General features: G+C 48.2%; 1 protein-coding gene, 1 long non-coding RNA gene and 1 pseudogene across 6 annotated transcripts in view, besides 8 other annotated features; 1 reads left to right on the top strand and 2 right to left on the bottom strand.

The window, feature by feature from the left end:
* Nucleotides 733-792: an enhancer, noted in NCBI's record as "active region_6852". NCBI's record gives its function as "activates an Ori minimal core promoter by ATAC-STARR-seq in GM12878 lymphoblastoid cells {active_cell/tissue: GM12878}" and the evidence as "EXISTENCE:reporter gene assay evidence [ECO:0000049][PMID:35858748]".
* Nucleotides 813-932: an enhancer, noted in NCBI's record as "active region_6851". NCBI's record gives its function as "activates an Ori minimal core promoter by ATAC-STARR-seq in GM12878 lymphoblastoid cells {active_cell/tissue: GM12878}" and the evidence as "EXISTENCE:reporter gene assay evidence [ECO:0000049][PMID:35858748]".
* DNM1P19 (dynamin 1 pseudogene 19) lies at nucleotides 1,168-2,457 on the bottom strand (annotated as a pseudogene).
* Nucleotides 2,388-2,889: an enhancer, noted in NCBI's record as "H3K4me1 hESC enhancer chr12:100546825-100547326 (GRCh37/hg19 assembly coordinates)". NCBI's record gives its function as "activates a minimal SCP1, AML or CMV promoter by ChIP-STARR-seq in naive H9 embryonic stem cells {active_cell/tissue: H9 hESC(naive)}" and the evidence as "EXISTENCE:reporter gene assay evidence [ECO:0000049][PMID:30033119]".
* Nucleotides 8,533-9,341: an enhancer, noted in NCBI's record as "NANOG hESC enhancer chr12:100540373-100541181 (GRCh37/hg19 assembly coordinates)". NCBI's record gives its function as "activates a minimal SCP1, AML or CMV promoter by ChIP-STARR-seq in naive and primed H9 embryonic stem cells {active_cell/tissue: H9 hESC(naive and primed)}" and the evidence as "EXISTENCE:reporter gene assay evidence [ECO:0000049][PMID:30033119]".
* On the bottom strand, nucleotides 11,265-12,881 carry BLTP3B-DT (BLTP3B divergent transcript). Its single transcript, NR_186018.1, has 2 exons — nucleotides 12,593-12,881; nucleotides 11,265-11,396 (listed from the first exon to the last, which is right to left on the bottom strand). It is a non-coding gene; the product is annotated as a BLTP3B divergent transcript (long non-coding RNA).
* Nucleotides 12,754-13,517: an enhancer, noted in NCBI's record as "H3K27ac hESC enhancer chr12:100536197-100536960 (GRCh37/hg19 assembly coordinates)". NCBI's record gives its function as "activates a minimal SCP1, AML or CMV promoter by ChIP-STARR-seq in primed H9 embryonic stem cells {active_cell/tissue: H9 hESC(primed)}" and the evidence as "EXISTENCE:reporter gene assay evidence [ECO:0000049][PMID:30033119]".
* Nucleotides 12,754-13,647: a biological region, named in NCBI's record as "H3K27ac hESC enhancer GRCh37_chr12:100536197-100536960".
* Nucleotides 12,898-13,077: a silencer, noted in NCBI's record as "silent region_4763". NCBI's record gives its function as "represses an Ori minimal core promoter by ATAC-STARR-seq in GM12878 lymphoblastoid cells {active_cell/tissue: GM12878}" and the evidence as "EXISTENCE:reporter gene assay evidence [ECO:0000049][PMID:35858748]".
* BLTP3B (bridge-like lipid transfer protein family member 3B) overlaps nucleotides 13,062-13,684 on the top strand; it is a 105,803-nt gene continuing 105,180 nt past the window's right edge. For all 5 annotated transcript variants that reach the window (XR_007063059.1, XM_005268739.5, NM_015054.2 and 2 more), the window contains exon 1: nucleotides 13,062-13,344. Coding sequence is in view for 4 of the 5 variants with exons in the window: in XM_005268739.5 (XP_005268796.1) it covers nucleotides 13,301-13,344 (44 nt within the window). In the remaining variant the exon portion in view is untranslated. The remainder of the gene's footprint in view (nucleotides 13,345-13,684) is intronic.
* Nucleotides 13,398-13,647: a silencer, noted in NCBI's record as "silent region_4762". NCBI's record gives its function as "represses an Ori minimal core promoter by ATAC-STARR-seq in GM12878 lymphoblastoid cells {active_cell/tissue: GM12878}" and the evidence as "EXISTENCE:reporter gene assay evidence [ECO:0000049][PMID:35858748]".

The following is a 13,684-nucleotide window of genomic DNA, read 5'->3' as shown; positions in this document are numbered from 1 at the left end:
AGGCTCCGTCCCCATCATGTCCCAGCCACCCCTTCCCAGTCACCCCTTTACCCTCACAATAGCAAAATAAGACCCGTGTCTAATCAGGGGGAGGCAAACATGCAGACCCTTTGCCACCTTGGCCAGAGCTGACTCCTTAAATTTCTGGACGATGATTATTGTTTTAAGAGTCAGAGGCTTATAGAATTGGCTTGTTTGGAGGAGGCCTAATGGCCTCCTTAACTCTCACCAAAGCAATTTTTTCCTCAGGGGGGCTCCCATCTTCTTACTCAGAGAGGCGGCTGAGGCAGGACAATGGGGCTAATGTAGACCAGGTGAGGGCACAGGCTCTGGAGTGGCCCCCCTTAGTGTACATACTATATCCGTGTAACATTTTGTATATTCCAGTGGTAGGGCCACCTCCTGTGTCATACATAGCAGAGGTTGGAGCTGGCATATGGGTAGGAAGTTCTGATAGTTATTTGGGGCTGGAAAACTTATTTATTGATAGCATAGGCCAGGGGAAGGGGCAGAGATGGGGTCGTGGCACTGTGGTGATGCGACTCCTGTTTATTTTGCTTTTTATTTTGGAATGTATTTAGCCATATACTGCTTGGCCTGGTGTATTCCTGTTTCCCTCACTGGGTCATGGAGTTTGTGCCACTGAACAGGGAGCCCCAAAGTGAGCATGTCCAGCTGGGGTATTGGGGACCTTCCAGGCCTGTTACCTGTATGCTGCCTGGTAACACCTGGGGAATTCCACAGGAACTGCCATGGCACCTATGGGTGACCATGGGGCCTGGACGGCTAACAGGCTCGGAAGCCTGATCTAGCAGTGGCAAGTAAGGCAGGTGCCAGCATCCAAGGTCACTGACTTCCATCCAGCCCAGTTGTCTTCCATTTTGTTCTCCTGCCTCCCTCGCCTGTCTGCACCTGGTGGCCTGTTCTGTCTGTCCCTCTAGATTGCCAGCTGCCCCACAGGCTTCCTCCAATCTGAGTTCATGGCCCTGCCCCCTAGTGGCCAGAGCCGGCTTCACAGGATGAGAGCCTGCTAAGCTCCGGAGGCTTTCCAGGAAGCGTCCCTTGGAAAGGATGTGGCCTTTTTACCACTCCCAATAGCACCCTGGTAATGGGTTGACCCTTCCCCTCCCCTGAGCTCCACAGAGAACGCAACCAGCAGAGGACACATTCCCCGTCACTTAGAAATGGGTTTTATTCCCAGCCAAGGGACAGCAGGACTGGTAGAGACTGTCGGGCCACACAGCTGTCTGCACAGCACCCCCAAGCTTGTCGGGCGGCAGGAGGGATGGTGGGGACTGGCTGTCCACAGGCCAGGCATGACAGGGAGGCTCACTGGAGGTGATGGACTTTGGATGGGGATTGTTGGGGGACAGTGTTCTCTTGTAGTTGGGTCACAAGACTCCACAAGGACAGCACGGTGACTGATTCCCAGCGCTAGAGGCGAGGCAGTCGGCCATGTGTAGGAGTGTATACATATATGTACACACACACACACGTATATATACACATATGTGTGTATGTATATATATGCATATATATACATATATGTGTGTGTGTATATGTATATATATATGAGTATTTATAGAACAGGGCAGGGGTGTACCACAGAGGGGGCACAAGTTTTCACCAAAGGTTATGCCTGGATGTGTCAGCTCACCACTACAACAGACCATCACAGATGAAGGGGGCTGGTTTTGGGGCTAGGGGAGCCACTGTCAAGTCACAGAACAGTCGTCCAGGCAGGCTTGGAAAGGAAGGTCTCTGAGAAGAGGAGGGATCTGTTTAGAGGTAGAAGAGGGCCCTGGGGCTCTCAGGATGGGATGGATTTGCCTGACCCCATTGGCTGGCAGTTGGAGAGAAAGCAGAGAGAAAACGGGAGAGAGAAAAGTGAGGAGAGAGCTGGTAAGGCAAGCGCAACGCACTGCAGCAGTGGTGGGAGGGCCAGGGAGGGGAGGACACAAGTGTGGATGTGGCAAGATTCCTGGAAAAGAGGGGCTAAAAGGGAAAGGGGAGGAAGATGGAGGAGCCGGAGCTTCACAGGTAATGCCTGGGGGCTGCGGCGGCCCTCCCCACCCCACACATGCTGGCCTGTCACACGGCATCTAGGCAGTGCACCCACAGTTCAGACCGAAACTCAGCCCCCTCGGGCTTCCCACTTGTCACCCTGTCTTCCAACCCACTGGCCCAGGGCCACCCCTCGCTTTGGGGAGCCCTACACAACAGCCACCAGGCCTGACAGACAAAGAACATTGCTTGAACCAAGAGGATGAAGCTAAAAGGGATGCATGGCTGGAGGGAGTGCCCAAGTCCCCCCTGGGTGGTCAGAAAGCCCAGGACCCTGGGGGAAGCAGGGAGTGCAGGCAGCCAGATGCCAGTGGCCATAGATTTACAAGTCTAAGAGGGGAGCCTCAGCTGGTTGGGGGGCTACAGGTCGCATAGATGAGGCTGGGCCCTTCCTGCCAGGAAAAGAAGAGCGAGAGTCAGTGGTGGGGGAAGCCTGGCTGGAGCTCAGCCAAGCCAGCAGGCACTGTCATCCCCTTGGCTGAATAGCATAGGCGACCCCTAGGAGCAACAGGCCAAGGTGCCTGAGCCCACTGGCTGGCTATGGTCCTTCAGCTGGGGCCAGGGACACTGCCTTCAGTCACACGCTAGCAGGTATGACGGTACCCGGGAGGGAGGCAAGACCCCACACTAGCAGGTATGATGGTACCCGGGAGGGAGGCAAGACCCCATCTCTACTAAGAAAAAAAAAAAGACCGGGCTCTGTGGCTCACGCCTGTAATCCCAACACTTCGGGAGGCTGAGGCCGGTGGATCACCTGAGATCAGGAGTTCAAGACCAGCCTGGGCAACATGGTGAAACCCCATCTCTACTAAAAATACAAAAATTAGCTGGGCACGGTGGCACGTGCCTGTAATCCCAGCTACTTGGGAGGCCGAGGCAGGATAATCACTTGAACCTGGGAGGCGGAGGTTACAGTGAGCCGAGATCGCGCCACTGCACTCCAGCCTGGGCGACAAGGGTGAAACTCTGTCTCAAAATTTAAAAAAATTAATAAATCTTTAAAAATCAGCCAGGTGTGGTGGTGCACACCTGTGGTTCCAGCTACTTAGGAGGCTGAGGTGGGAGGATTGCTTGAGCCCAGGAGGTTGAGGCTGCAGTGAGCCATGATTGTGCCACTGCACTCCAGCCTGGGCAACAGAGCAAGACCATGCCTAAAAATAAATAAAAAATAATTTAAAAAATTGAGAAAGATGGGAGGAGGGTGATTGCATCTTGATTTTCTCTAAACTTTAATTGAAATTGAGCTTTTCCTTCCATGGCGAATGTTGCTAGGAACAAACCTCATTAGTGTTAGCAGCACCTGTTACTTTGTTACCAACAGAAATCACAGATATTTTCATATTACACTGCAGCTGTTGCAGACATCTCGGGATAGCATTTTTGCTCATCATTACCTCAAAATTATAGTAATTAGACCTAACTTTGGATCTTGTTATTTAATGTGCCAATAAAGCATATCATGTAATATCACAAATATTTTCATAAACTTTATTTTGATATAATTTATTTCCATTGCTCTCTGTATTTTATTTTGTGCACTTAAAAAAAAAAATCTATTCTGAGCAGTCCATGGGCTTCCTCAGATACCAAAGAAGGCCACGGCACAAAAAGGCTAAGGATGCTGGGGTCTAACCCAGAGTAGGTTTGCTGACAAAGTGAGGTACTGGAAGCATTCAGATGCAAAGAAATGTGTTTCTGTGATTTTCCATGAGGCACTCTCTCTCCACCTCCCTTTCAGGTAGGATACTTTTATGGGCAGAACCTGGTCATTTTCCTAAGAAGACAAAGGCTTTGTGTACAAAAGGGGGCAGAGCCCAGGATGGCTGTGGGCCAGAGGTAAAGATTCCAAAGTCAGACAAATAAGGGGGGTATCTCTTTATAATCAGTAGAAGTGTGGGGCTGAGGCGGGGCAAGGCCCAGGTGAGCTCCATGAAGAAGGGTTGGGGTAGGAAGGTAGAGGGACAATCCTGGGAATTGGAGGTTGCAATGAGAAGAGATTGTGCCACTGCACTCCAGCCTGAGTGACAGAGCGAGACCCTGTCTCAAACAAACAAACAAATAAAGAGGCTTCCCTGGAGCTCTTTAGTTATTTACAACATTTTACAAAACAATGTAGGTAAAGAATAAGGCTAATCTATAATCAGAGAAACAAAGGCTACAGCTGCCTAGGTTATAATTGCCCTTTTTTTTTTTTTTTTTGACTCAGGTGCTGTAATCCCATTCCTTTAAGGCTAAGAATATTTTAAAGTTCCAACAATTCATATTTGGAGTTATTTTATTTTTTAAAAAACTGAGACAGGGTCTTTCTCTGATGCCCAGGCTGAATTGCAGTGGCATGATCTCAACTCACTGCAGCCTGTGAGATCAAGTGATCCTCCTGCCTCAGCCTCCCCAGTAGTTGGGACCTCAGGTGTGAGTCGCCACACCTAATTTTTTTTTTATTGTTTGTAGAGACTAGGTTTCACCGAGTTGCCCAGGCTGGTCTTCAACTCCTGTGTTCAAGCAATCCTCCTGCCTCATTCTCTCAGAGTGGTGGGATTACAGGCATGGGCCACCACGTACAGCCAGAGTTACTTATTTTCACAGTGGAAAGTTTCTTTGAGCCAAGTTTGAGAACTGCAACCCTGAAGACATAGATTTAAGTTTCCTTGAATGTATGTTCCAACTAGTAGCAGTTACAATTGGTTTGTTTTGTTGGTTTTTTGGGTTTTTATTGAGACAGTGTCTCACTGTCGCTCAAGCTGGAGTGCAGTGGCTTGATCATTGTTCACTGCAGCCTTGACCTGCCGGACTCAAGCAATCCTCCCTCCTCAGCCTCCTAAGTAGCTGGGTCTACAGGATCAAACCACCACTCCTGGCTAATTTTTGTATTTTTTTATAGAGTCAGGCAGGGTTTCACCATATTGCCCAAGCTGGTCTTGAACCCCTGGGCTCAAGAAATCCACCCACCTCAGCCTCCCAAAGTGCTGGGATTACAGGGAGGAACCAACAAACCTGGCTTGGCCACAAGTGGATTTTTAAAGGATAAGAGGGCCGGGCACGGTGGCATGAGCCACCCTGTAATCCCAGCACTTTGGGAGGCTGAGGCGGGTGGATCACTTGAGGTCAAGAGTTCGAGACCAGCCTGGTCAACACAGTGAAACTCCTTCTCTACTAAAAATACAAAAAAAATTTTAGCTAGACATGCTGGTGGGTGCCTGTAATCCCTGCTACTCAGGAGGCTGAGGCAGGAGAATTGCTTGAACCTGGGAGGCGGAGGTTGTGGTGAGCCAAGATCCCACCATTGCACTCCAGCCTGGGCAACAAGAGTGAAACTCCATCTCAAAAAAGTTCTTAAATTGCTTACCAAGAATTTACATTGGTTCATTAAAATAACATAAGCAATTTATTGGCTATATGTTGCTCTTTGTATCAGAAATTCCAGGAACATGAAGATAGTGAATGAGGGTACACTGTGCAACTTGTGGTAACATTTTAAGTAATTTGGGCCAGGCTGGGTGGCTCACACCTGTAATCCCAGCACTTGGGGAGGCTGAGGCGGGCGGATTACTTGACGTCAGGAGTTCGAGACCAGCCTGGCCAACATGAGGAAACCCTGTCTCTACCTAAAAATACAAAAATTAGCCAGGCGTGGTGGCATGTGCCTGTAGTCCCATCTACTTGGGAGGCTGAGGCAGGAGAATCACTTGAACCTGGGAAACGGAGGTTGCAGTGAGCCGAAATCACACCATTGCATTCCAGCCTAGGCATCGCAGCGAGACTCTGTCTCAAAACAAAAAAACAAACAAAAAATTTTTAAGTAATTTGTTAGTCTGGAAACTACAGGGTAAGACATAAAAAACCAAAATGCCTTTAAACAACCCTAGACATGGGTGGGGGAATGTTGACTACGTCTCATTCTCATGTCTCTTGGGGTCTAATACATTTTACATACCTCACATTTTCCAGACTGCTCTGAGCTACTTTTCTTTCTCATAGTCATTCTATTTTCTCCAATTTAATATTAAAGTTATAAAATCTAAAAACCCTTAAAAACAAAAGTTGTAAGATCTCTTATTCCAGTCAAGTAAAGAATACTTTGTAAATCTTACATCATAGAGCAGCCATCATTTCTATTTATCTCTCATCCTTTAAAATATGCTATTTTCAGGCCAGGCATGCTCGTTCACACCTGTAATCCCAACACTTTGGGAGGCCGAGGCAGGCAGATCACCTGAGGTCAGGAGTTCGAGACCAGCCTAGCCAACATGGTGAAACCCCGTCTCTACTAAAAATACAAAAAATTAGCTGGGCGTGGTGGTGCTCTCCTGTTGTCCCAGCTACTCAGGAGGCTGAGGCAGGAGAATCACCCAGGAGGCAGAGGTTGCTGTGAGCCTAGATTGCGCCACTGCACTCCAGCCTGGGTGACAGAGCTAGACTCCACCTCAAAAAAAAAAAAAAAAAATGCTCTTTCCATCTTGTCTCTCCTGTTTATCCACCCTTTCTCATTTAAGCTTCTTTTTCCTTTCCTCATGACTTACATACCCTTTGATCAAGATTATTCTTGTTCTTGGCTTCAGCTACCACGATTCGTAAACCAGAATTTCCACCCAAAACTATAACCTTACAAAATTTCCACTGAGAAATCCTCAGAAAGCCTTAACAGCAAGAAATTCAACAGGATCTTATCTCCAAAACTGCCTGTCCAACTATATTACTTAACTAGTGGCGTGCCCCGAGCAAAAACCTCAATTACCTTCAATATTTATCCTTGATTTAATCTTTGGCATGTGTCCTTTACCTTCTTTCACCTCTACTGATACTGTCTTACCTCTCACCTGAAATAATGCCACCACCTTCTCAATGCCCTTTCTGCCTCCATTCTGTTCTCCATCCTCTGAACTGACAGCAAAATTGTCTGTAAATATTTTTCTGACTCAGAAATATGAACATCTTCCCCAATTAACCCATCATAGAGGTCTTCAGGACTCACTATTTCCTATAAAATGATGTCTATATATTTACATTTACAATCTCATCTCCCTCCAATTTTTTTTTTTTTTTTTGAGGCGGAGTTCCGCTCGTGTTGCCCAGGCTAGAGTGCAGTGGCGCAGTCTTGGCTCACTACAACCTCCATCTCTTGGGTTCAGGCAATTCTTCTGCCTCAGCCTCCCAAGTAGCTGGGATTACAGGCACCCGCCACCATGCCCAGCTAATTTTTTGTAATTTTAGTAGAGACAGAGTTTCACCATGTTGGCCAGGCTGGTCTCTAACTCCTGACCTCAAGTGATCCACCAGCCTCGGCCTCCCAAAGTGTTGGGATTATAGGCCTGAGCCACCGCGCCCAGCCTAAACTCATTTTATAGTCTTGTGCTGGTGAATGCTTAACAACTAGATCTCTAGGGGAAAAAGCCCTGCTTTCTATGTTGTAAATACTGTCATCATGGCTGATTTCAAACTATCCTTGTGGACAAAAAGAATCAAAGTCTATAAACTATTTGAAGAGATTTATTCTGAGCGAAATGAGTGACCATGGCCCATGACACAGCGCTCAGGAGGTCCTGAGAACATGTGCCCAAGGTGGTAGGAGTGCAGCTTGGTTTTATACATTTTAGGGAGGCACAGACATCAATCAAATACATTTAAGAAATACATTGGTTTGGCCGGGCGCGGTGGCTCATGCCTGTAATCCCAGCACTTTGGGAGGCTGAGGCGGGCAGATCATGAGGTCAGGAGATCGAGACCATCCTGGCTAACACGGTGAAACCCCGTCGCTACTAAAAATACAAAAAAAATTAGCTGGGCATGGTGGCGGGCGCCTGTAGTCCCAGCTACGTAGGAAGCTGAGGCAGGAGAATGGCGTGAACCCGGGAGACGGAGGTTGCAGTGAGCTGAGATCGTGCCACTGCACTCCAGCCTGGGGACAGAGCGAGACTCCATCTCAAAAAAAAAAAAAAAAAAAAAATACATTGGTTTGGCCAGGCCTGGTGGCTCACGCCTGTAATCCTAGCATTTTGGGAGGCCGAGGCAGGCGGATCATGAGGTCAGGAGTTCGAGACCAGCCTGGCCAATATGGTGAAACCCAGTCTCTACTAAAAATACAAAAAATTAGCTGGGTGTGGTGGCGCGTACCTGTAGTCCCAGCTACTCGGGAGGCTGAGGCAGAAGAATTGCTTGAACCCAGAGGCAGAGGTTGCAGTGAGCTAAGATCGCACTACTGTGCTCCAGCCTGGGCAATAGAGTGAGACTCCATCTCAAAAATATATATATATATTGGTTTGGCCAGGCGCGGTGGCTCACGCCTGTAATCCCAGCACTTTGGGAGGCCGAGGCAGGTAGATCACAAGGTCAGGAGATTGAGACCATCCTAGCCAACATGGTGAAACCCTGTCTCTACTAAAAATACAAAAATTAGCTGGGTGTAGTGGTATGCGCCTGTAGTCCCAGCTACCTAGGAGGCTGAGGCAGAAGAATCGCTTGAACCCAGGAGGCAGAGGTTGCAGTAAGCTGAGATTGCGCCACTGCACTCCAGCCTGGCGACAGAGCAAGACTCCATCTCGAAAAAATGAAATACATTGGTTTGGTCCAGAAGGGCAAGACAAGTCAAAGGAGGGGAGCTTCCAGGCTATAGGTAAATTTAAACATTTTCTGGTTGACAATTGGTTGACTTTGTCTAAAGACCTGGATGATCTGGTTAAGATAAAAGATCGTGGAGACCAAAGTTCTTTTGAAGTCTTAATGTGGCTGCCCTTAGAGACAATAGATGACAAATGTTTCGTATTCAGACCTTTAAAAGGTGATAGACTCTTAGTTAATCTCTTCAGGATTGAGAGGGCCTGTAAGAAAAAAACCTAACTATGTTAATAGAGATTCTTTATAGATGCAAATTTTCCCCCACAAAGAATGGCTTTGCAGGACCATTTCAAAATATGGCAAAGAAACATGTTTTGGGGTAAAATATTTTGACTTTCTCCTTTGTCACTGATAAAACAGGATGAGGTAAAGAAGCTGGCCAAAACCCATCAAAACCAAGATGGTCATGAAAGCAACCTCTGGTCATCCTCACTGCTCATTAAACACTAATTATAATATATTTGCATACTAAAGGAAACTCCCATCAGGGCCATGACAGTTTACAAATGCCATGGTAACATGGAGAAATTACCCTATATGATCTGAAAGGGGGAGGAACTCTCAGTTCCAGGAACTCCCTGCACCCTTACTAGAAAACTCATGAATATGTACCCTTTGTTTAGCATATAATCAAGAAATAACCATAAGTATAGTTGGGCAGCCCATGCTGCTACTCTGCTTATGGCGTAGCTATCCTTTTATTTCTTTACTTTCTTAACAAACTTGGTTTCACTTTACTCTTGTCAGCTTGGTCTTGAATTCTTTCCTGCAGAAGGCAGGAACCCAAGTAGCCTCCCAGCCTGAACCCCAATTTGGGGGTCACCCTACCACAACCAGCATAGCTAAATATCTGCAGAGTTCAGTTTTGATATGGACAGGAGACAGGGAAATACTGGGTAGAACAGAGTGGTTCCCTGGCAAATGCCCTACTCTCAAGCCTGGAAACCCACCGTCCTAAATGGGAACAGGCATTTCTGTTTTTGTGCTCAAAAGTTGCCTTTTGGCCTGCCACAGCACCCTATCTTGTATCCATAGAAAGCCCAAACCCCAGGCTCCACAAGCAGATGAGCAGACAAGGAGATGAACAGATGAGCAGAAGAATGGCAGACCAGTGCAGCAGAGACAAGAGAAGTAGTGACTGAACGCTGAGAAGAGTTTGGCCACTGGATGGCCAAATTCCAGGGGAAGATCATCTTCCCACTCCATCCCCTTTCCAGCTTCCCATCCATCCTGTTGAGAGCCACCTCTACCACTCAATAAAACCCCACATTCACCGTCCTTCAAGTCCCTGTGTGACCTCTTTCTGGATGCCTGACAATGACCTGGATACTAAGAGGGCACTGAGCTAGTTAACACTTAAGCTATCTGTGGACAACAAAGCTAAAAGAGTGCAGTGTAACGCATGCCCACTTGGGCTTCAGGAGTTGCAGTTACCCACCCCTAGACGCTACCATGGGGCCAGAGTTCAAAAGTCCTTGCTCCGGCTTCTGCACTTGCCCATCTGTGTGCTCCCTGTCCTATTAGGGGTTTGCATGTGCTCGGTAGCCAAGCAGATGAGCCACCCCCCTGTGTACTTCGTGCATTAGTGTTAGTCCTGCGAGTGAAGTCAGGGAACCCTCCTGCTTCAGTTTTAAATCCAAGTCTTTGATTTCAGGGTCCATTTTTTTAAAAAAATTAAATGGATTTATTCATATCTTTGAAATAATACCTCTACTATAAGTCTGTCCCCAAATGAATTACTCCTTCCTCTGTGTTCTTATAGCACTTTGCTTGTTTTTGGTAAAGTAATTAATAATACCTAGCCTTTATTGAGTTTGCTATAAGGCAGGTTAACAGTAGCTACTAATAATAATATCTCTTAACACATGAGATCACTGAAGCTGAGAAAGATTAATTTGCTGAAGTTTACACAGTTATAAAGTGGCCAGCATTTGAACCAGAGTCTACTAACAGAGCTGAAGGTGTAAGTAACATGAGTCTGCCTTCCAAGCCAGGCCGTTAACTCTGATGGCAGGAACAGAGATTTTTGTTTTCATTTAGGCAACCCCAGGATACTTGAATAGTGCCTGGTTTATAATCTATGATAAATGTTGAGTGTAGTCAGCTGGGTGTGGTGGCTGATGCCTGTAATCCCAACACTTTGGAAGGCTGAGGCGGGCGGATCACGTGAGGTCAGGAGTTCGAGACCAGCCTGGCCAACATGGTGAAACTCCGTCTCTACTAAAAATACAAAAATTAGCCTGGTAATCCCAGCTACTTGGGAGGCTGAGGCAGGAGAACTGATTGAACCTGGGAGGCGGAGGTCGCAGCGAGCCAAGATCGTGCTGCTGCATTCCAGCCTGAGCGATGGAGTAAGACTGTCTCAAAAATAAAATAAAAATAAAATGAAATGTTGAGTGTAGTCAACTTACACGTCTATCCTTTCCATTCTTCAAAAAGGGCCAGCTTATTGGACTATGTGTAAACTACTTCCCACCCAACTCCCAAGATGTACAACCACACATCTTGCTAATACATCCCTCAGGGGTGGTACAATTTCTTTTCCTGTTTTAGATATCACTAGTGTTAAAAGAAAAACTTCAGCCAAATTAAATTTAAAGGAGTTTAACAATGAACGATTCCTGAGTCTGGCAGCCCCCATAATCACAGCAGATTCAGAGAGACTCCAGCACAGCCACATGCTGGGAGCAGATTTCTGGCCAGCAAAAGGAAAGTGAGGTCTAGAAAATGGAAGTGAGGTACAGAAACAACTGGATTGCTTACAGCTCAGTGTTTGCCTTATTTGAACACAGTCTGAACAGTTGGCTACATCTGGCCAAAACTCAGTGATTGGCACAGGTGTGGGCTATGGTCGGTTTATACCTCTGCTTATTTTCATAAGTTCATGATGTACAGAAAAACCTTTAGGCTGAACTCAATTACGTAAGGAGGCAGTGTTAGGCTAAACTTGACTTAACACTGAGTAATTTTTTTTTTTTTTGAGACAGTCTTGCTCTGTCGCCCAGGCTGGAGTGCAGTGGCTTGATCTCAGCTCACTGCAACATTTGCCTCCCGGGTTCAAGCAATTCTCCTGCCTCAGCCTCCTGAGTAGCTGGGATTACAGGCGCCCGCCACTATGCCCAGCTAATTTTTGTATTTTTTTTTTGTAGACACAGAGTTTCACCATGTTGGTCAGGCTGGTCTTGAACTCCTGACCTCAAGTGATCTGCCTGCCTCGGCCTCCCAAAGTGCTGGGATGACAGAAGTCGTCATTTTAATCTCTGAAAATGTTAGCTCTGTTTGGGATTGGGTGGGGTGGAGGTGTAGAATTGTAACAGTTTTCCCTAGTTCAACAATTTCCTTCCTTCCTTACAGAACTTTTCATATGATATTTACACCTTTAGGTTCAACCTAGTGAAGTGGGTAAGGCTGATGATTAATCTATTTCACAGATGATTAAAATGAAACTAATAGTAAAGAAATTATTTTCCCCAGGATAACACAGCTAGAAAATACCAGAGCCAGGACTTGAATTATACACCTTCTAATTCCTAGGTCCTAGACTACTAGGAACCATTGTCAACCTTTACTTCCCTTAGAATAGCAATAACCAAAGGAAACATTAAATTGCCACATTTAGGTAAGGGAAAGGCAGGACACCTTAACAAAAGAAAAAAAAAAAACACCAAAAACAAAAACCTAAGGAAGAATATGAAGAAAGGTGAGTAGGTCAAGAGAGCAAAGCAAGCACAGGAGTTAATGGCCGATTCTTAAAACATTCTAAGGAGGCCGGGTGCAGTGGCTCACGCCTGTAATGTCAGCACTTTGGGAGGCTAGGAGGGTGGATCACGAGGTGAGAAGTTCGAGACCTACTGGCCAATATGGTGAAACCTCGTCTCTAATAATACAAAAATTAGCCGGCCGTGGTGGTGCGCACCTGTAATCCCAGCTACTCAGGAGGCTGAAGCAGGAGAATCGCTTGAACCCTGGAGGTGGAGGTTGCAATGAGCCGAGATCGTACCACTGGACTCCAGCCTGTGTGACAGAGCAAGACTTGTCTCAAAAAAAAAAACAAACAAGCAAAAAAATAAAAAACATTCTGAGGAAATGAATAAGGGAAGTAGGACGTGGAAGTAAAAATCAGCGACGGGTCAGCGATGGAGGCGGGAACACCAGCAGAGGGAAGGAGGGAGGATTAAGGCCAAGAAGGATGGTGTATTGAGAGTCAAGGGCCCTGTGTCGCGAGGGCTAAGAACCCTGGCGCCAATGCCACAAACCTCCCGCCCCCGCCCAGAGCCCAGCCAGAGCCCAGCCAGAGCCCGCCCAGAGCCCGCCCAGAGCCGGCGTTGGCCCCGCCCCGCCTCGTGCCGGCCCCGCCTGGAGCCGCCCCGCCCCCGCCCTCCACCGAGTCTCTTAGGTGATGCTGCAGCCAAGATGGCGCCCGCGGCGGCCGTGGCGGCCTGAGCGTGATGCTCCGGGTTCTCGGCGGCGGCTGTGGCCTTGGCCGGGGCCTTGGGTCTCTCCCGGTCGTGAGCGATCAGCGCCTCTCCGCCGGCCGGGCTAGCCGGGACAGAGAGGAGACGGCCACGAAGAGAGGAGGCAGTGAGCAACAGGACGAGACCGCGGCGTCTCCAGCCTCGGTACCATGGCCGGGATCATCAAGAAACAAATCTTGAAGCACCTCTCCAGGTCAGTGAGCGCCTCGGTGTCGGCGCCAGTCGGCCTCCACCCCAGCCCGCACTGGAGTCAGCCTGCGGCTTCGGGGGCGGCGGCGCCTGGCGGCTGTGCGGGAGGCGACCTTCGGACTTCCCCGCTCTGGCCGGGGCAGAGGTCGCGGCCCCGGATCTCTTGTCGCCGGCGGCGCCGGGGGCTGGCCTCACGAATCGGCCCCTGACGCGTCTTCTCCCAGGGTGGGCGCGCGGAGGAGCCCGGAGTGCGGAGCGCGGCGGGCTGGGATCGCTCCCGGCGCGGCGTCTGGGGGCGTCCCGGCTCGGCTCTGTGCGGTACTGAGCGGAGGCTGGAGGTGGCC

Source organism: Homo sapiens, chromosome 12 (assembly GCF_000001405.40).
Source record: "Homo sapiens chromosome 12, GRCh38.p14 Primary Assembly".
In the NCBI taxonomy this organism is placed as follows: domain Eukaryota; kingdom Metazoa; phylum Chordata; class Mammalia; order Primates; family Hominidae; genus Homo; species Homo sapiens.
Note: the sequence above shows the minus strand (reverse complement) of the source record. Positions and strands in the feature narration are given on the sequence as shown.